Genomic DNA, 22,661 nt, shown 5'->3' with positions numbered 1-22,661 from the left:
TGGGGTGATTGTGAAGAAACCTGGAGCAAAAAGAGAATTCGCATATTAATTGATTAAAATATCCACTTCAGGGTGCTTGCATGGGCAGAGTCTGAGTGGTGGCTCATGCCTGTGTGTTGCTCACTTTCCAGGCTGCTGCAAAATGAAATGCAGTGTCCTGTTGAGCCCCTATGAACTTCACAGTGCAGCTCTGAGGAGCTGTTTGTGAGCCAAGGGACCACAGGAGCCTGAGGCCTGACTTAGTGATCCTTTTGAAATTGGAGAAAGATGAACTCTTGCTTCGCACCTTGTGCCCCTCTCCCTCCCATGGAATAAGCCTGTACTGACTTCTGACAAAGTACAGAAGAGAACATAGGGCCAAGATAAATGAGTTCCAGACCCCGACCTGCAGGGAAGATGTGTGCACGTGAATAGTAGATTTTTGCTCAGCCAGCACAAAGCACCAGAGCTCCACCTGCATCAGCTGCCAAATGTCAATGAGGGCACCGAGGAGAAAGATGGTCCAGGTGGACCACCTCCTCCACACCTATCCCTTTCACCAACAAATCATTCCCCACCTCCAAACTCAATTGCAACTCCTTCTGAAGCTTTTTCTGGATTTTCCAACCTCAGGAACCACTCCCTTGTTCAGATCATTCAGCACTTTCGGTCAATTCCAAACTGTCTCACAAAGTATCGTGCAAGGATGCCGCAAAAATCCCACCAAGGTTTGCTTCTAATTTCATAAGATGCTGGAGTGAATGTGAGCCTGAACATGCCACCAGACCTTCCAAATATTTGTGTTCATGGAAGTAGCCACATTGATCAACTGTATCATTATAAATGAGTAGTATAAATAGAAATGTAAGATCAATCTGTATCAACACATGGTCACTTTTGTAATTGTTTTAAAATGTGTGAGCTCTTGTTTGGAAATGAGTCCCACTGCTAAAAACAAAACAAAACAAAATACAAGTTTGAAAAACACTGCTTTCTATCATGCAGCTGATAATTAACTTTAATGTCCTCAAGAACTGCTGGCACTCTTGTCCAGTATTTTCAATATATGATGACAATAGTATTAATTATTAATTGTGGTAGGTTTTTTTAATATTTTAAAATTTTAACTTTTTAATTGTTTTAATATAGGGGAATTGAGTTCAGTTCTAGAAGCAGCAAGGAACTGAAGCTGTAGGCTCTGCTGTTTTGAGAGAGGAGTTCTGTCTTTTCTACCTCCTCTAATTTGAGAAATTGAGCCTGTTAACTTTAGAGGAGTGTGTACAGAAGGTGGGAAAAGTGTTGACATCATTTTCTAAGCTTTTACACAGATGATGCCCATCTGCTCTGTTCCCCTAATCCATCCTAACGCTGATAGAATCAGTAATCCCAGAGAGGTCGCTGATGTTTCACCTTCGCAGCTGAGATAGTACTTTTGAATCAAGCAGGTGTTACAGATCTCCTCCTCCTAGGGAGCTTGCAGTATTTTACCCAGTTTGTGGAGTTCCATTTGAGGATTGCTGGGGGTTGTGGACCATCCAGAGATCTTTCCATGGTAAAGATCAAGCATCGTGGGTTGCCATGATCTATTGTCAGGTACGTTTCAAATCATTAAGAAGTTGTTTTAGTAAGCGTTAAATTACCAGAAGGTAATTTAGTATAGAGGATAGGCACATTCTGGAATTAGACTGATTTTTATTCCTGGTCTCTACACTGACTGCTGCATGACCTTGGGAAAGTGACTTCACCTCTTTGAGCTTCAGTTTCATTTGTTAAAAAAAAAGATAATATTAATACCTGCCTGTTAGGAATTATGAAGATTAAATAGGACAATAGACACAAAGCACTCAGAGTATCTGGCATTCAATAAATGTTATCTATTATTTTTAATTAGTAATGTTTATAAATTGTTTACTTTTATAAAGTCAAATTAACAAGGCTTTACTTTCATAACCCACATTCTAAAATGCTTTCTACAATGATAGGGAAAGGTTGGGGTTGTAGTTAGGCAGGGGAAATTGTTCACAATCTTGGAATACCAGGTAGAATCTGTGCACACACAAACATCATTCATCATCTGCTGTTGGTGGATGGGGAGAGTCAGACATCCTCCTCTGGGTAAATCCAGAGGCATTGCTTCAGAAGGAATTCTCAAGGTACAGCAGTGATTTTCTTTCTTCCTGCCTGCCTGCCTCTTTTCCATTCTTCCTTCTTTCCTTCCATCTTTTTTTAAAGTATAAGGACTCAGAGATCATGTCTAGAGTTCAAAGATGCCAAGATGCTCAGTAGTAAGAAGATATAAACCTTGGAATCAGATTAGATATAGGTCAGAGCCTAGTTGAACCACAAATTATGTGATGGCAGGCAAGTTACTTAAATTTCATCAGTCTCATTTTTCTCTTCTGTAAATGGGACATGTAATATACTCCTTTGTGAACTGTTATCAGGATTAAGTTAAAAGATGCAGCACGTAAGCTGGGGTTTTTTTTTCCTACATGACACTAAGCAAAATAACCTCTGAACATTGATTTCCTCATGAGCTTGAGGATTAAAATCATCTCTTGGGGTTTTAAAATACTTTTATTGAGTCTAGTTGATATATGATAAACTGCATCTCCCTAAAGTGTATGATTTCATAAGTTTTGACATGTATACACTCATGAGCCATCTTTACAATCAAGAAAATAAACCTGCATACATCAGTTCCCCCAAAGCTACCTCCTGCATCTTTCTCTTACCTCTCCCCACCACTCACCTATGAATTCAGGCAACCTTTGATTTAGTTTCTGTCACTTTACATTAGTTGAATTTCCTAGAATTTTAGATAAATGCAATCATACGGTTTGTATGTTTGTCTGATTTTTTTCACTCAGCATAACTATTTTGAGACATCTTAATGTATATCCATAGTTGATCATTTGTATTGCTGAGTAGTATTCTATTGTATGGATATAGCACAGTATATTTCTCTTTTTGCCTGTTGATAGATATTTGGGTCGTTTCCACTTTGAGGCTATTCCAATAAAGCTGCTTTACACATTTGAATTCAAGCTTTTATATGTATATACATTTATTCTTGTCATGTAAATTCTACTGCTGAGAGCAGAATGGCTGAGTCATATAGTGTAGGTGATGTTTAACATTTGAAGATGCTACCAAACAGTTTTCCCAAGTGGTTGTACCATTTTACATTCCTACCAACAGTGTTTGAGAGTTTCAGACCCTCCCCATCCTCACCAACGTTTGATATGGTTGGTCTTTTTAATTTTAGCCAATTATAATCAGTGTATAGTGGTACCTCATCTTGGTCTTTATTTTCACTTCCCTAACAATTCATCATGTTGATCATCTTTTCAAGTGCTTATTTTGCCATCCATATAGCTTCTTCATCAGAGCATATGATCAAGTCTTTTGCTGTATTTTCTTATTTTTGAGTTTTCAGAGTTCTTTATATAGTCTGGATATAAGCTCTTTATCAGACACAGGCTTTGTAATTATTTTTTTCTCAGATGCTTTCATTCTCTTACAGTGTTTTTCAAAGAGCAGGAGTTTCAATTTTGATGAAGTCCAGTTTATCAATATTTTTATTTTATGGCTTATGCTTTTGGTGTTATATCTAAGTCATGTTTGCTTAATCCAAGGTCATAAAGATTTTTATCTATATTTTATTCCATAAGTTTCATAGATTTAGATTTATATTTAGGTCTGTAATGCATTTTGAGTTAATTTTTGCATGCGTGAGTTAGGACCAAAGTTGTTTTACTTGTTTGTTTTTGTTTTGTTGCATATGGACATCCAATTGTTCCAACACTATTTGTTGAAAAGACTGCTGTATCTTCACAAAATTATCTTTGCATCTGTGTCAGAAATCAGTTCTCCATCTGTGTGTGGGTCTATTTCTGGAGTCTCTATTCTCCATTTTTCTATGTGTCTATCTTTTCATTGATACCATACTAGTTCTATAGTAAGTCTTGAAATCCGTAGTATATATTCCACTGGATTTTCTACAAAGATAATAATATTATCTCTAAATAAAGACAGCTGTACTTTTTCTCCAGTATACATACTTTCATTTCTTTTTCTTGCCTGTTTGCACTGGCTAGAATATCTAGTACAATATTGAAAAGATATGATAAAAGCATGCATCCTTGTCTTGTTCCTGACATTAGGGAGAAAGCTTTCAGTCTTTCATCATCAAGTATTTTCTGGTTGAAGGTTTTTTTTGTTTTTTTGTTTTCTTTTTTTGTATTTTTCAGACAGAGCCTCACTCTTGTCACCCAGGCTGGAGTGCAGTGGTGTGATCTCGGCTCACTGCAACCTCTGCCTCCTGGGTTCAAGCAGTTCTGCCTCAGCCTCCCGAGTGGCTGGGATTACAGGCACACACCACTATGCCTGGCAAATTTTAAGGCTGGAGGGCTTTTTGCAGATACCTTTTCAATTGAGAAAGTTGTGTTCTATTTCTACTTTGAGGAAAGCTTTTGACAGAACAGATTTTGGATTTTGTCAAATACTTTTTCTCATATATTAGGTTGTTTATGCTTTTTCAGTTTTGGTTTGTGAATATAATGAATGACATTAATTTTTTAACATTAAGCCAACTTTGAATTCCTGGGATAAAACCAACATAATCATGATGTATTACTCTTTTTATATATTATGGGGTAACAATTTGCTAAAATTTTGTTTGAAATGGTTACATGTATATTCATAAGTAGTTTTTCTTCCTTATAATGACCTTCTTTGGTTTTGCTATCAGATTAAAGCTGGCCTCATAAAACTTCTTAGAAAGTGTTCCCTTTTGCTTTCTGAAAGAGTTTGTGTAAAACTGGTAATATTTTTTCTAAAACTTTTGGTAGAATTCATCAGAAAGACATTGAACTTTGACTTTTATTTATATTAAAGTTTTAACTTAAAAATTTAGTATCCTAGGTAGTGGTATTCAAGTTATCTGTTTCTTCTTGAATGAACGTTGGTAATTTCAACATTCGACTTTCCTGTTGAATGAATGTGGGTAATTTAAACATTCAACTTTCAAAGAAATTGTCCACTTCATCTAAGTTGTGAAGTTTATAGGCACAAAGTTATTAATACTATTCATGTATTCGACTTTTAATAGCTGTAGATTCTGTAGTGATGTTACCGCTCTTATTCCTGATACTGACAATTTGTTTTCTTCTTCCCACTACCATAAGTCTGGCTACAAATATAATATTCTTTATCTTCTCAAAAAACAAGCTTTTTATTTCACTATAATTTTTCTCTATTACTTTTTTCAGTTGCAGTGACTTCTGCTTTGAAATTTATTATTTTCTTTTTTCCTCATACATTAATTTGATCTTCTTTTTCTGTTTTTTTCAAGGTGGCAGCTGAGGTCATTGATTTGTAATTTTTCTTTTTTTCTAATATAGTGTTTTAGTGATATAAATAGCATTAAATTTATTTAGCAGCATCTCACAAATTATAACACATTATGTTTTCATTTAATTCATTTCAAATACTTTCTAATTTCTCTTTTGGTCTTTGCCTAATTCATGTGTTATTTAGAAGTGTGTTAGTTTCCAACCATTTTAGTATCTTCCAGAGATTTTTCCATAATTAATTTCTAATTTAATTCCATTGTGATCCTTGGAATACTTTTAAATTTATTGAGACTTGTTTTATGGCCTAGGTATATAGTTTATCTTTGTAAATGTTTCTGTGTGCACTTGAAAAAGGATGTGTATTCCATTGATGTTGAGAGACTAGCTGTATAAATATCAATTAAGTCATGTTTGTTGGGTGTTGATCAAGGCTACTATATCCTTGATGATTTGTTGCCTATTTGTTCTATTGATTACTGAGTGAGGCTAGTAAAATTCTGAGTATACTTATGATTTTGTCTATTCCCCTTTGCAGTTCTATCAGTTTTTGCTTCACCTATTTTGAAGCTGTGTTATAGGTAAATAAACATTTAGGATTGTTATGTCTTCTGGATGCGTTGACCTCGTTATCATTATAAAACTACCTTCTTTATTCCAGTTAATATTTCTTACTCTGAAATGTATTTTGTCTGAAATGCTAATTTCAGAGTGAAAAATAGTAACTCTGTCAATTTTGTACACCAAATGGAATTTATCCTAAGATGCCTCAAAAATGCTTCCTTAGTCTCGCTAAATGTACATAATTTTCAGATGGTTTTGTTCTATTGTTTAGCCTTTTCTAAGAGTTTTAGAGCACACCAAAGTAACATTAAAGCAAAAAGAAGGAAAAGAGAAGGAAAAGAAGAGAGAAGACAAGAAAAAAGAGAAAAGGAGGAAGACGAGAAGTGGGAGGAGGAGGAAAAGAAAAGCCCAAATGTTCAGGCCTTATGACTTCATTCAGATCTTGGCTTTACAAACATAGCTTCAGAATACCCCTGCAATCATTCTTGGTCCCTTTTCACAAGTCTGCATTCAGTCCTTTAGAATTGCTGAGGATGAGTCTTCAGATGCACCAGGATAGCTAACATAAGAAAAGACTTAAAAATGCCTTTATTGTGATAAGTCATCATGCAGACTGGTATGGAAATGACAGAGCTAGATCTAAAAGAGAGCAGAAATAATTATGTTTCTAAATTGTATAATTTTTCTGTGTCCTTTCTGAGCAAGAGGAACAAAGTTATAAATAAAAGAGGCCTCTAAAAGGGTTTCATGAAGAATCCATTCCTGTCTGCTGGTAGAGACAACAGCTAAACTTGGGCAAAGCAACATGATTTTGGCAAAGCATTGAATCCTGCAACAGGCAGAATAGATACAGATGGCAGACAGTGGCTTCTTGTGACACTGTTGATGCAGAGAGGCCTCCTCCTGCCACAAAGTCACAGAAATGCTTGGTAAAACATTCTTCACAAAATATAAAATTCAAAGCTAAATATAAAGGAAAGAAAAGGAAATTCCCAAATGCCAGAAACAAATAGGCAGAGCAGAAGGGAAGCTACTGCCAGAGTCACACAAGACACAGCCATTGTAGAGATACAATATCGCACGGGACATGGCCTCCACAGGAACATGGGTTCACATGAGACACCTCCATCACAGGGATATAGAATCCCTGCTGTATAGTATTCCGTGATGTACTTAATTTATTTGACTGTTCTCCAGTTGATAGATATTTGGGATATTTCTGGTCCTTATTAACACAGACATTTCTGCTATGAAAAGTCTTAAACAACCCTCCTGGTATACAAAATCAATCGTTTGTTTAGATTATATGTCTAGGAGTGAAATCGCTAGGTCATAATGTACTATAAGTTGTTTATGAAATGTGATATTTTCATGCTACTAACTGATGGATGAAACATAGTATTTATTGTGCTTTTTAATTTGTAATTGTTTGATTACTAATGAGATTAATCATCATTTCATATGTGTATTGGCCATCTGAGGTCCCCTTTCTGTGAAATACCAATTTATACCTTTTGTTCATTTTTATGTTGATTCTTTTGAGAGAGTTATCTATTCTAGGTAATAATTCTTTTTCAGAGACAAGTATCATAAATATCTTCTCTCATTTTCTTGGTGTTTATAACCTTATTTTTAACAGTTTTAATTGTTTAATTTTACTGTAGTCAGATGGAACAACCTTTTCTTTGTAGTTTGGAGTTTTTGCTACTATTTTAAAATATACTTTTCTACTTCAAGATCATAACCTATTTTTCTATTTTGTCTCCTAAACTGTTATGGTTTGAACTTTTCACCTTAACTTTTGGTTGGATTTTTGGAAGGAATCCAAGTATATATACTTAATATGTAAATGGCCCCAGTACCATTTATTGAAAAGCTCACCCTTTCCTCCACTGATCTGCAATTACAACTTCATCTGAAATTCAGTTCCCATGTATGTGAAATCTATTTCTGTTAAGATCCATTGGCCTATTTTTTATCCATCTATTAATACCTCACTACTTATTTCTTAGCTTTAAAATAAATCTTGATATCTGTTAGACCAATCCCCTCCATCATATTTTTCTTTGAGATGTTTTGAGGAGATTTATTTCTTTGACATCATCAGCCTTTTACTATTCTGCACAAATTTTAGAATTAACTGAATTACCAAAGCCAAGCAAAACACAGTTCTTACACACAAAGACACACACAGAAATCTGCTTTTTATATTAAGTTTAGTAAGAAAGATAATGAAAGAAAATGCTAATAGAAAGGTGGTGTGATACTATTAAAGCATACTACAGCAAAATGTATTTTTAGGGATAAAATAGGGTCTTAATGTTGAAAGAAAAAAATTCACCAGAAACAGATAACAGTCCTGATCCAATATAAATGCAACTACACAGTTTCAAAATATATAAGGGAAATTAGAACTGAGAGAATAAATTGATGAGACAATCACTGTGGGATATTTTAACACTTTTCTCTAGGAAACTGACAAATCAAGCCAGCAAAAAAAAGTAAGGCAATAAAAGATTTGAACAAAATAAACAATATTGATCTAGCAGACATATTGAACAAGTAGAGTAAACATTCTTTTCAAGCACACATGGATAATTTGCAAAAATTGACAATGTTCTGGACCATAAAAGAAGCTTTAACCAAGCAACTGTTACCAAACACTGAACTCTCTAACTACAAGGCAATAAAATTAGAAATCAATGGCCAAATGACAGCTTTTAAAAATATATACTTGTCACTCTCAGAATTTCTCACGGCTTGCCAAGCTCTTGGAAAGAGACCCAGGAGATGACCCTTCCCCTAAGAATAAATAAAATACTTAACAATGTAGGCTGGGGAGCCAAGTGGTCCCCAATGGGGATGCCAGTTCCATTACTTACTTACTGGCTGTGGGACCGTGGATAAGTGAGTGGTTTTCAGTGGCACTGTGTGCTCACATTTAGAATGGAAAATGCCTTTCTCACAGGGCTGTGTGAGGGGTAAATGAGATAATACATAGCTCTTGGCATAAAGCATGGCCACACAGAAATATCTAATATTTGGGGGTGTTTTAGGTCTTATTTTTATTGAGTTTTTTAATTTAATTTTGTTTCATTATTATGATCATATTAACATTTGTTTCTCAGCACTACAAAGTGAATATCTCTTAGGTTTTCTTTCCTAGCACATGGCATCCTTTTCAAATCTGAACTGCTAATTCAGTTTCAAAGACAACCTTGCAGTAGAAGTGGCCAAGCAAAGTAACTCTCTTTGAGTTTCTTACACTTGGTTTCTTTAGATCTTCATGACGCCAAGGAGATTCCTTTTTCAATTTCCCTGCTTAAAACGTTTAAAGAGGTAATTCAGATTTGGCCACCTTTTACCAAAGGGATGAACTAATGATTTTTTAGTTTCTTGCTTGAAATCCTTTTTTTTTTTTTTTCCTGAAACAGAGTCTTGCTCTGTTGCCCAGGCTGGAGTGCAGTGGCACAATCTTGGCTCACTGCAACCTGCGCCTCCAGGGTTCAAGCAATTCTCGTGCTTCAGCCTCCCAAGTAGTGGGGACTACAGGTGTGTGCCACCATGCCTGGCTAATTTTTGTATTTTTAATACAGACGGGGTTTCACCATGTTGGCCAGTCTGGTCTCTAACTCCTGAACCCAAGTGATCCACCTCCCTCGGTCTCTCAAAGTGCTGGGATTACAGGCATAAGCCATTGTGCCCAGCCTGAAATCCTTTGAAGTCTCTTGTGGATGGGTGCGGAGCTGTGGATGCGTGGAGTGCTGATGAACTAGCGACAAAGTGACTTGGGTTAGAAATCCAGCCATGCCTCATTGAGTTGCCTGCTGACCCTAAAGAAGGCTAACAGGGCAAGCCTCTTTTTGCCAGAGAAATGCTGAATACCACTATGGGGCAAAGGAATGTGAAATGGCTTTTCCCTGTGCTGGCTGAGGCATCAGCTCCTCCTCTCCTGCTGTGGCCCTCACACTGTTTTGTGCTCTCTTCATATCATGGCATAAAAATGTAAAGGGAGAAAGAGAAAGAGGTGCTTTATGGAACAAAGTTCAAAAAGATGGAAAGTGTTGCATACAATCAAATTAGCAGGAATTATGGAGGAGGGATAGCATCCAGGGAACTTGAAAAGGGCACAGATCATGAATGCACCATAGGACTTATCCAGGCACCTCTGGCAATAATGCCAAAGACACAGGGGTGAAGCATCCAAACAGATGCCACAGAGGAAAACAGTTAAAATATAACATGCATGTTCACATAACAAAATATAGTTTTCCTGGTCAAAATCATATCCTCACAGATTTGGTGATGTGGGAGGAAAGCTTGTGATAAAATAACTAAAAAAACACTGTAAGTTGACAGTGGGATCTGATCACTGTTTCCTTCTTTATTTCATTCTGTATCTGTCTCATTTTATTCCATAACGATGTGCTTCTTCTAGCGTCATAGGCTGAAGTCAAACTATGAAGGGTTGTGACTGTCAAGGTTAGACACTGGAATGGTCTGTGGTTCAGAATCCTCTATAGGATCATGAACTCACTAGGGAGAGAGGTTGTGTCTCATTTTCGTCTTTGTATCCCAAGTGCCTATCACAGGATCTGGGCTTAGAGAATGCTCAGAGAATGTCTGCCCGAGAGAACAAATGATTATACGAATATATGAGTGAAGGAAGAACTGAAGAAGACCTTGAATTTGCTGAGCAAAAAGGTTCATAAGCAAGAGAACAGTATAAAGAGAAACATGTTGTTATATATAAAGTTTCAGTGCCACAAAAGAAATAGCACTCGAATATAAAATTTTCTTTTTAAGGCCGGATGAGGTGGCTCACGCCTATAATCCCAGCACTTTGGGAGGCTGAGGCGGGTGGATCACAAGGTCAGGAGATCGAGACCATCCTGGCTAACACGGACTCTACTAAAAATACAAAAAATTAGCGGGTGTGGTGGCAGGTGCCAGTAATCCCAGCTACTCGGGAGGCTGAGGCAGGAAAATGGCCTGAACCCGGGAGGCGAGCTTGCAGTGAGCCGAGACTGAGCCACTGCACTCCAGCCTGGGCTACACAGCAAGACTCTGTCTCAAAAAAAAAAAATTCTTTTTCATTCTTAGCAAGGCAAGGTACTTCTGTAGAAGGGTGAACCCTTACAGAGGGAGCAATGGTGAGCGCACACTTGGACAAGGGAGGGGAACGGGTTCTTATCCCTGACGCTTGTGCCCCCCACCCCCCACTTCCCGCTGTTGTGTGGTTCCCCTATTGGCTAGGGTTAGACCGCACAGGCTAAACTAATTCCAATTGGCTAATTTAAAGAGAGTGAGGGGGTGAGTGGTTTGGCGGGAAAAATGGTTATGACAGAGCAGGTAATGAGTCAGGGTGGAGTAGGTAATCGGAATGAGTCAGGGTGGAGCAGGTGATTGAAATGAGTCAGGGTGGAGCAGGTAATCAAAAAAGATTGCTTTATGAGGAAGTTAAGTTTAAAAGTAGAAGGTAAAGAATTGAACATACTGACATATTCTTTGAAAAGAAATTTAGAACTCATATCTAACAACGTAAACAAGATGTTAGACAAGCACCACTGGTGGGATGTGACCAAAGAGCCCTTCACCTTTTCCTCCCACTGTTCCTCTGATTTTTTCCCTTTTACAGCCTTATTGAAGTATAATTGACCTAAACTGTATATAATTTAAATCAAACAATTTCACAAGTTTTGATATATATACACCCCCATTTAACCATTGCCACAACCAACATAATAAACATACCCATCACCCCCCCAAAAAATTTTCTCGCCGTGGCCTCTAACAGGCTTGGTGATGGAGCTCCGTGTGGGGTTTATCCAGGAGCGCTCTCAGGAGCACCACCTGTGCAGGAGTGAGGGCAGCAGGCCTGGAGAGAGGGAAGAGTTGGGATTGAACTGCGAAGCATGTACAACAGAGGCCCTGAGCTGGCCCAGCCCATGTGGAACACTGTAGCTGGCATTGTCTTTCAGAGTTGCCCCACATTGAGACAAAGGGGTACAGCCTTTGTATCCCCAAGTCCATTAGTCATGGGATAGGGACATTCCCCTAGGGGGACCTAAACCTTGGCAGATCCCTTTGGCCCAAGGCAATTCCTGGGGAGGGACTCAGCTGTGAGCTTCCGCAGGTGCTACTGCAGCAGCTGTGGACATAAGAACCTGCATCCTGTAGAGTGTCTGGGTGGGCCACCACAGCATCCTCCTCCAGTGATCATGTAAAGGGGTCCAGCAGTAGATGGACCTCATCCTGGCCCTCATGGAGTGGGGAAATCAACAGTTTCTCTTTATAAAAAAGCATCCAGTCCAATCAAACCAAAGTTTATGCCTACATTGTGCGATGCACTACACTTTATGTTCCTCACCTCATTACCACAACCACCCAATAATGCCCCAGTGCAGCAGATGAGGCATTGAGGCACAGAGAGGCCACGTAATCACCCAAGGTCACATCATTAGTGAGCTTAGACCCAACAATCAAAACTCCAGGCAGCCTGGTCCTACGCTACATTTTCAGCTACTACAATCTGCTGCCTCTCTGAGCTTGCATTTCCACCCACATCCTTGTATTCTATTTTATATTGGGTATGTTATCTTTTAAAAGGTACTATTTTTGCATGTTATATTTAAAATGTGAAGATTGGCAGTGTAGCACACACTGCTTTTATAAATCATTCAATGCCTGTATTAGAAATTACCAAAGTAACATTTGCAAAGTTATGTGATATTTTGTCACTACATTAGGAAAAGCTATCATTATAGCTTACAATTGTTGATGGAAAGAAAACACCATCCTACGATTAGTCTGACTCAAAGAAGTTAGAAATGGGAAACATATATGTACGTGTATGTGTGTGTGTATGTGTGTTACATAAACATATATAATACATATATGTGTGTGTGTGTGCATGCACGCTCCACCAGAAAGAAGAACTTAAAAGCCAAGATACAGAATCCCATTTCTTATTAATCAGGAAAGGGTCATCTTTTACTGAATTAACCTAGGAACTGAGAGATGCCAACCTTGAGCTATGCAGATACTCTGATAAAACTCATTATCTATTGTATCTGACAGAATTCACTCAGGGAAGCAAAACCACTAAAGCAGATTAGATATACTAAGAGATACATTAAGGGATTTGACTTTACACAATTGGTATAGCTGGTTAAATAGTCTATATGAAGCTATGCCACCTGTTTCTGGTACTGAAGTCAGCAGTTCTCAGCCAAGGCCATTAGGAAGAGAAGATGGATATGAAATGGGGGAAGGAAAAAAGGGAATCTGTGAGGATGAGCTAAAAAGGACTGGTACCCACTGCCTCCAAGCCTTCTATTTCAATGGAGGTGTCCTGCAGGGGAAGCTGGCACCCTCCATCACAGAACTAAGCACACACCTGGTCCAAGAGTCAGAGAAGTGGCAGGCAAAAATGCAGCAGGAGCTGGAGGTGAGCCAGCAGATCAGCTGCTGTATAGGACAGCATGCCATGGGGTGCAACAGCACTGCGTGACCTGCCCTGACCTTCTGGGCATCTGGAATCTGGCTGCTGCTTCACTTCCATTGCTACATCTCCTGTGAAATGCCTCTTGTGGCCCGCCCAACTGACTTAGAATTCCACAGGGAAAGGAAATCTGGGCAATGCAGTTTTAGCTAAGTTGACAAATACAAAGGTATCACATCTATTCCTGAGGGCAGATCTAGCACAAGAGGGAAGTGACCAGATGTCCTGCCTAAGAAAATGTCACCTCAGATCTGCTCAAAGCAGCCATTGATATCATATAGGCAAAGACTTAGGATTTTTCCAACAAAATGGTGATCATTTACTAAGTACCTGACACTAGGTTCACTGCTTTACATTCATTAACCCAGTTAACTGTTAAGGGTGGTATTAATGATTAGGTCCCCTCTTTTGCAAGTAACTGCACTAAAGCTTAGAGACATTCATTGGCTTGCTCAAAGCCACACAGTAAGCTGCAAATCTGAGACTGATTCCAGAGTTCCTATCTGTCACCAGTTTTCTCTGCTGTTAGTGATAAAATGATAAATTTTAAAATAGTAAATAAATAAGAGGTGTAATTTTTTTTTAAATTCCAAAACCTAAGTGCTCCTGTGGCACTAGTCACAGAAAATCTTCTCAATCATCATCACCTTTTATGAGAATGTGAGATGAGCCAGACTCTTCATTACATTAGTGTAGCCCCACTTTTTCCTGGGTAGACACTGAGAGACAATCCGAGACCCACAGAGAATTAGATCTAGAAGGGAATCAATAGATGTTCTACCCTCACAAATGAGGAAGGAGTAGGGAAGAGAAAAATACTAAAAGCCCAGAAAGAAATTGAGAGAAGAGAACTACTGGCTTGAAAAAAGGAAATGTTGTGGCCTGCAAACACATGAAAAAAAAGGCTGACATCACTGATCATTAGAGAAATGCAAATCCAAACCACAGTGAGATGCCATCTCATACCAGTCAGAATGGCTATTATTAAAAAGTCAAAAAACCACAGATGCTGGCATGGTTGCCAAGAAAAAAGAACACTTTCCACACTGTTGGTGGGGGTATAAATTAGTTCAACCATTGTGGAAGACAGTGTGGTGATTGCTCAGAGACCTAGAGGCAGAAATATCATTTGACCCAGCAATCCCATTACTGGGTATAAACCCAAAGGAATATAAATCATTCTATTTAAAGATACATGCACATGTATGTTCATTGCAGCACTGTTCACAATAGCAAAGACATGGAATCAACCCAAATGTGCATCAGTGATAGACCGGATAAAGAAAATGTGGTACATATACACCATGGAATATTATGCAGCCATTAAAAGAATAAGATCACATCCTTTCAGGGACATGGATGGAGCTGGAAGCAGCTATCCTCAGCAAACTAATGCAGGAACAGAAAACCAAACACCTGGCCGGGCGCGATGGCTCACACCTGTAATCCCAGCACTTTGGGAGGCCAAGGCAGGTGGATCATGAGGTCAGGAGATCAAGACCATCCTGACCAACATTGTGGAAGCCCCTCTCTACTAAAATACAAAAAATTAGCTGGGAGTGGTTTTATGCACCTGTATTCCCAGCTACTCAGGAGGCTGAGGCGGGGGAATCGCTTGAACCTGGGAGGCAGATGTTGCAGTGAGCCGAGATCATGCCACTGAACTCCAGCCTGGTGACAGAGCAAGACTCTGTCTCAAAAAACAAACAAAAACAAAAACAAAAACAAACCTAAACACCTCATATTTTTGTCACGCATATCCTTGTGAAGAGACAACCAAACAGGCTTTGTGTGAGCAATAAAGCTTTTTAATCACCTGGGTGCAAGCAGACTGAGTCCGAAAAAAGAGTCATTGAAGGGAGATAGGGGTGGGGCAGTTTTATAGTATTTGGGTAGGTAGTGGAAAATTACAGTCAAAGGGGGTTTTTCTCTTGCGGGCAGGGGCGGCGGGAGGGTGTCACAATGTGCTCAGTGGGGAAGTTCTGAGACTCATTTTCTAGGAGAAGGAATGTCACAAGGTTAATTGATCAGTTGAGGTGGGGCAGAAACAAATCACAATGGAGGAATGTCATCAGTTAAGGCAGGAACTGGCCATTTTCACTGCTTTTGTGGTTCTTCGGTTGCCTCAGGCCATCTGGATGAATACATGCAGGCTTGGGCTCAGAGGCCTGACAATTTTCACTTATAAGTGTGAACTGAACAATGAGAACACATGGACACAGGGAGGAAAACAACACACACTAGGGCCTGTTGAGGGAGGATTGCTGTGGGAGGGAGAGCATCAGGAAGAATAGCTAATGGATGCTGGGCTTAATACCTAGGTGATGGGATGATGTGTGCAGCAAACCACCATGGTACATGTTTACCTGTGTAACAAACCTGCACATCCTGCACATGTACCCCAGAGCTTAAAATAAAAGTTAAAGGGAAAAAAATTAAAAAAATAAAAATCATAGGCTGGAATTAAAAAAAAAGAAAAGGAAAAGGAAATGTTCTTCAGAACAAAGGTGGGAAGAAAAAAGGTGTGTGAGCAGAAGAAAAGTACACATGCATTGTCAAAAAAAAAATTGTCTAGAATCATGAGCAGATAAAATGAAAGTTAGAAATTTTACGGAAGGCCAGACACAAGTCTCACATCTCTCAGTCAAACCTCTGTAAATGTGTATTGTCATGACCAAGAGGGCCTTAACATTCCCCCATTTCCTAAACCTTAGACAGGCTTTTTCCTGATTCTATTGCCCTCCTTCCCTTTTCTTAGAGCATTTACTTTAGAAAACTTGTATTTGTAGATCCTTTCTCTGCTCCTTTGAGATGTAAATCTTTTTGAAAGCTTCTTACCAGTTTTACAACCCTAGAATGTCTTTCTCAAGGACCCGGAAGCCATCTCTTTGAAATGTAAATACTCCCCTACTTACTAGGTTTTCTTTAGGATTTTTTGACTTCACTACAGTGGGAAAGCAATATGCATTCAGAAGAAACCATATTTCAGTACCCATGCAACCACTCTGCTTTTCACTTTCAGCACAGTATGCAACAAATTACATCAAATAGTCAACATTTTATTATAAAATAGGCTTTGTGTTAGATGATTTTGCCCAACTGTCAGATAATGTAAGTGTTCTCAGCACATTTAAGGTAGGCTGGTCTAAGCTATGATGTTCTGTATGTTAGGGGTATTACATGCATAATAATATTGTCTGTTACATTTAAATTTCTTCAGCTGTCCCAAAATATCTTTTGTTGCTTTTTATTTTCTAATCCAGTAGCCATTTAAGGTTCATATGCTTTCTGGATTGTTCTGCCTCTTTTGTCACTTTAAACCTAGGCAAGTCTGCATGTTTTTGTGTATTGTCTGTTTTTTTATGACACTGACTTTTAGAAAGACTTCAGGCCTATAGAATAAATCAGATTCTAGATACATCTGTTATTTTTCTCACTAGATTCAAGTTTCCCAATAACTACATGATACATATTATCTTCAAATACACTTGGAGCATGCATGATGATAGGCCATCTGTGGAACCATAAAACAACTATCAAAAATGTCAAAATCATGCAAAGTTCCTCAGAAGTTGGTTATGATGCTATATTGAAGATTTTGCGAATATGGTGGAAAAAGGAATTAGTGACCCAACAAAGGTTGTAAGACCTGCTTTACTGGATGCTGCTGGGGTGGCCTCTCTGTTAACTGCAGCACAAGTTGCAGTCACACAAATTCCTAAAGAAGAGACAGGCCTTGGAATGGGTGCAATGGGTGCAATGGGAGGTGGATGGGAGGTGGCATGTTCTAATTCCCAGAATAGGGCTTTACCTTTATTAATGAACTGTGGCAGGAAGCCCAAGGCAGTGTGCCTCACCAATAGCTTCAGAGAAGTCGGTTGGAGAAAATGAAGAAAAGGCTGGCTGACGTTTAAGAAATCACTGTAACCATCAGTTACTGGTTTCAGTTGACAAAATATATAATGGCTTACCACTGTTGTTGTCCATGCCTACAGATAATTTATTTTGTCTCTTTGAATAAAAAGACATTTGTACATCCCTGAAAAAAAGAAGTCAAAGGATTAAAATCTTATGGAGGATGTTCTCTGACTATATCAGTATTAAATTAGAAATTAATAGTAATGGCTGGGCACAATGGCTCACGGCTGTAATCCCAGCACTTTGGGAGGTCGAGGCGGGCAGATCAAGATGTCAGGAGTTTGAGATCAGCCTGACCAACATGAAGCCCCATCTCTACTAAAAATACAAAAATTATCTGGGCATGGTGGTGCATGCCTTTAATCCCAGCTACTCAGGAGGCTGAGGCAGGAGAATTGCTTGAGCCTGGGAGGCGGTAGTTGCAGTGAGCTGAGATCAAGCCACTGCATGCCAGACTGGGCAACAGAGTGAGACTCCGTCTCTCTCTCTCTCTCTCTGTCCATATGTGTATATATATTATATATTATATATATTATATATATATAAAATAAGGTATCTAGAAAATCTCCAGATATTTAGAAATTAAGCAACATATATAAATAATCCAGAGGAGGTCAAAGAAGTTACAATAAAAAAAGTAGGAAATAAACTGAATGATATTGAAAACATTTCAAAATTTGTGACATGCAGCCACGCATTGCTTAAAGGGAAATTTATAACTTTGATATAGTCAAAAAGAAGGAAATGCTCAAGTCAGTGAGCTAAGCTACAAGTTAAACTCAAAGTAAATGTAAAGAAGAAAATAACAAATATGAGTAGAAATTAGTTAAGGTGTGGAATATCAAATATGTCCATTGTAAAAGTACATTTTTCTGTTTCCCCCACCTGAAACAAAAGAGAGAAAAACAGCAGTAAAAAATTACTTTAAAAATTAATCAAATTGATAAACATTCACTGAAACTAATCACAGAGAAAAAGTGAAGACACAAATTACTAATATTATGAATAAAAAGGGTGCCCAACTAAAAAAATCTACTTATGCTAGGAGGATGATAAGATAATGTTATGAAGATATGTCTATTGTAAAAGTATACTTTTCCTTTTACCCCCAAATAATCTCTGGGGGGATACTTTCAGACCACATAAATATCCTGTTCTGCAACCTTTCACTCAATGGTTTTGGCATTCACTGACCATTCTTGTTTGAATCAATTATTACATTAGTGTTGAAAGTGCTAATTTTATAATTGTATTATTCCATGTACGTTTATCAGCTAGCATTATTTTATTAAAAGAGCCTTTCTCCTGGCTCTCATCTTATTGTTATGAATTCAGTTTTTACTCAATGTGTTGTAATCAATTATCATCATTCTTTTTGATGTGTAACTTGTCCCAAGACAGCTTTTGTATTTTTCTTTTTAATGAACCCATTAGTCTCTGTGCACTTACTTGCCTTTTGACGTGAGATTTTTCAGTCTTACCTTGTAAATTCCCTGCTCTGGGTCTGGAAATAGTCATTTTTCTAAGGAGTACTTTAGTAGTGAGTGGTATTTAGCAATCCAGATCTAAGTGCCAATTGTGCTTGCTGCAATTAAAGTGGCTTTGCTTAGACGTCCTTTCAGCAGACAGAGCTAGGAAGTTCGCAGGTATGTCTGTGTTGTCTATCTCTCCATCTATCTATGTATGCAAATCTCATCCTTAACCCTCTGGTTGAAATAAAACCCTATGTAGTTTGTCCTCACCTATGAAAGTAAAAACCTTGCTTCACCAAAACATCAGTATATTTACACATTTATTTTATCCTATTAAACACACAGTTTTAGATGTATACCACCCATGCCACTACCAAGAACAAACCTGCTACGTAGATGTCAGTAGTTATTTGTGTTTCTTTTTGACTTTATAATATATTCTATTGAGCATGTACAGTCAAAGCCCTGTGCTCAAAAGTTACTTGACTCAATTATTTTCTCTGTGTGATTGTTGTCAACTGGATATGCAGTCGAGTTTGTTTTTATTTTCTGTTGCCAAGCTTAGTGGCTGTCTTTTCATCTTTGTATTATATTTTTGAATATTTAAAATATTTACATGGTCCAAAATTAAAATTATATAAAAATGTCTGCTAAGAGAAATCTCATATATTCCTCTACCCTCTATATTGTCTTTACACACCCTGTATGTAAATATTTTCATTAATTGCTGGTTTATATTTTCTGTTTCATTTTCTAAGAATAAGCAATTTCCCCTTGTTTCTCACATGATCAATAGCCTATTATGTCCACTCCATTGAGACCTGCTTTATTTCATTAAACAATATATCCTGGATTCACAGAGAGCTTCCTTATCCTTCCTTCTGAGCTGTATTATACACCACAGTGTGGAGTATAATATTTAATTAGACCATTCTCCTTTGGGTGATCATTTAGACTGACTGTAATATTTTGTCATCACAAAGGATTTCTTAATGAATAACCTTGCACATATGCTGTTTCATATTTGTGAAGGTGTGTCTTCAGGGAACATTTCTGGAAGTGGGCTTCCTTGGTCAAAAGATTAGTGTATATATAGTTTTGTTAGATAACTGTCAAATCCCTTGCAGAGGGATTATATTCTTTTGCATTCCCAATAGAGTATGAAAGTATCTAAATTTCCACAACCTTGACAAGTGTGTTATCTAAATTTTGAACTTTTTGCCAATCTGGTAGATGAGAAATGGTCTCTTTCTAATGTTCTAATTTGTATTTTACTATGATTAAGGCTGAATATTTTTTCTGTATTTAAGAGCCATTCCAATGTCTTTTGTGAACTATTTAGGCGGCTTTTTCCGTGTTATATCCTATTTTGCAGTTTTCTCTTGATTTTAAAAAAAGTCTTTATTTCTTGGAAAAAATAGTCTTTTATCATAAGAGAAGTATCCTGCTGTATCATTGGTCTTTTGACTTTGCATGTGGTGCTTTGTCATGTAAAAATATTTTTATTATTTTTATGTAATTAATATTATCAATCTTTTCTTTTGTTATTTCTAGATTTTGGATTATAGTTTGAAGGTTTCTCCATGCCCAGTTCAAGAAAGAAATCACTCCTGTTTTCTTCTATGACTTACTTGGGTTATTTTTTTACACTTGGTTGTCTGATTCATTTGGAGTTTGTTCTGGTGATTGGTACAAGACATGAAACTACTTTTTTTCCAAATGAGTATCCAGTTGTCCTAACATCATTTACTTTTAAGCCATTTTTTCCAAAACAGATGGAATCTGAGGCCTGGAATTTGTTCTATGTGTGATGGATGAGCTGAGATGCCAAACAGGGAGCAATGGGCCAATCCACAGATTGGCAGTGACAAGAAACCACTGTTACCTCTAGGCTAAAGTATCCAAGGCAGGAAAAAAATGTTCCTGAAGTCCTGGGTTTGGGCCCAGCAAGCAAATGCTAAAATCATGGTAGTCTATCCAATGAGATCTGAAGCCATAGCAGAGCTCCAGCGGCTTAGCTACCTATGGAGAAAGGTGTAGAGATGCCTCCTTTCCTTCTGCCCACCAATCTCCCACTAACGATTCCCATTGGCAAAACCCAGATGGAAGCCAACTGATAAGGGAGCCTGAGAAATGCATCCTAGAGTTTAGCCTTCTGGCAAAATGTAACAGAGATGTGTGGAAAAGAGAGGGGACTTCTCTCAGGGCAAAGAACCAGCAGAACACTCAACAAAAAATGTAAAAAGAGCCAGGCACCACGGCTCACACCTGTAATCCCAGCAGTTTGGGAGACCAAGGTGGGTGGATCACCTGAGGTCAGGAGCTTGAGACCAGTTTGGCCAATATGGCGAAATCCCTCCTCTACTAAAAATATGAAAATTAGCCAGGCGTGGTTGCAGGTGACTGTAATCCCAGCTACTCAGGAGGCTGACGCAGGACAATTGCTTGAACCCAGAAGTCAGAGTTTGCAATGAGCCGAGATCGCACCACTGCACTCCAGCCTGGGCAACAGAGTGAGACTCCATCTCAAGAAAAAAAAAAAAAAGGAAGAAGAGTGTTCTTTATCTTCTCATTATAGGAAATTCTCAGAAGATATCATGCAACTCATTAACACTTTAGTAGACAAATATCTCTAAGTGAATAAGAAAGGTATATATTGGTTTAAAGATAGACTGTAATACAGTCTTCCCATTAGTTCCAACCATCTCTCCTAGAGATAATCTGAATCTGTAAGACTTTTATTATGTGTATTTGTTTTATGAAGGATTGAGGAAACCAAGAGCGTAGAGATAAGCTAGGAAGATTTTTTAAAAAATAGAATTAGTTCTGCAGAAACCAGAGCATCCAAAAGACTAAGACTCAAATCAAACTAAAAACAATTGTATGAAAAAATTTCAAATTTGTTTAAAAACAATTAAAGAAAATCAAATAAAATTGAAACAAACAAAAAAAATAATGAGCCATATACAGTGAAGGCAGGAGGGCAGGAGTTTAGATAATCAGAAAAAAAAAAAAATTTCTCTTTTACCCTTGGTGATGTCTTTTTTTTTTTTTTCTTTCAGATTGAGTCTCACTCTGTTGCCCAGGCTGGAGCACAGTGGCGTGATCTTGGCTCACTGCAACCTCCAGGGTTCAAGGGAACCTGTAAAGGAAACCAGTAGCTTATCTGTACCAGTGGCATATCTGTATAATCTCTTAGAAAATCAAGGGTTCAAAATCAAACACCTTGCTAGTTTGCGATTCAGTGATTCAAGAATGAATTCTGCAGTTGGAGGACTCTCTAGGCCCTTCAGTGTTCCACTTACTTTTTCTGCTCTTATTCCCTCTCTTCTTCTACACGCCAGCGTCCTCTTCTGCACTGGATGGTATCATGATTTTCAGGAAGGAGAGTCAAAAAGGGAAACAAGTCAGCTCAAGCAAAAACATCCTGGCACACGGGAGGACGAAGTAAATAATGATAGTATGTGGGACACCATTAGTCATTGTCATTCTGCATGCTCCAGCACCAATAAAACCATCTTAACCAAACACCCTTGGATAATTGGTTCCCATGACTAATACATAGCCACTGATCCAGAGCCTAAGGAGTGTGAATGACAAACAATAAACCTGCTTGGGATAACGTGATTGATTGTAATTCCATTTGAAATAAATGTAACAAACAGCAATGAGCCATCTAGTTAACCATGCAGCACAACTTAATTGTTAAGGTTGTTCATTTCATTACACAGTGTCCTTTCCCAGAAAAAGAAAAAAACAAAATCTGCTCCTTGGATGAGGAATCATTGTTCTTTACCTGGTCAGAGGATTTCCACTGATCACTTGGCTTGTTTTGTTTTACTCCAGCTTCTAGAAAACATGGAGGCTGTC

General features: G+C 38.1%; 1 long non-coding RNA gene and 1 pseudogene across 1 annotated transcript, besides 1 other annotated feature; both read left to right on the top strand.

Annotated features, from left to right (window-relative positions):
* The first annotated feature begins 1,999 nt into the window (after positions 1 to 1,999).
* Positions 2,000 to 22,418, top strand: LOC124901075 (uncharacterized). Its single transcript, XR_007058948.1, has 2 exons — positions 2,000 to 2,132; positions 21,854 to 22,418. It is a non-coding gene; the product is annotated as an uncharacterized LOC124901075 (long non-coding RNA).
* Positions 15,882 to 16,713: an enhancer, noted in NCBI's record as "OCT4-NANOG-H3K27ac hESC enhancer chr5:135717435-135718266 (GRCh37/hg19 assembly coordinates)". NCBI's record gives its function as "activates a minimal SCP1, AML or CMV promoter by ChIP-STARR-seq in naive and primed H9 embryonic stem cells {active_cell/tissue: H9 hESC(naive and primed)}" and the evidence as "EXISTENCE:reporter gene assay evidence [ECO:0000049][PMID:30033119]".
* On the top strand, positions 16,949 to 17,536 carry HSPD1P18 (heat shock protein family D (Hsp60) member 1 pseudogene 18; annotated as a pseudogene).
* Positions 22,419 to 22,661: the final 243 nt, after the last annotated feature.

This window comes from Homo sapiens, chromosome 5 (assembly GCF_000001405.40).
Source record: "Homo sapiens chromosome 5, GRCh38.p14 Primary Assembly".
NCBI lineage: Eukaryota > Metazoa > Chordata > Mammalia > Primates > Hominidae > Homo > Homo sapiens.
The sequence above is the reverse complement of the archived record's forward strand: the minus strand, read 5'-3'. Positions and strand labels throughout refer to the sequence as shown.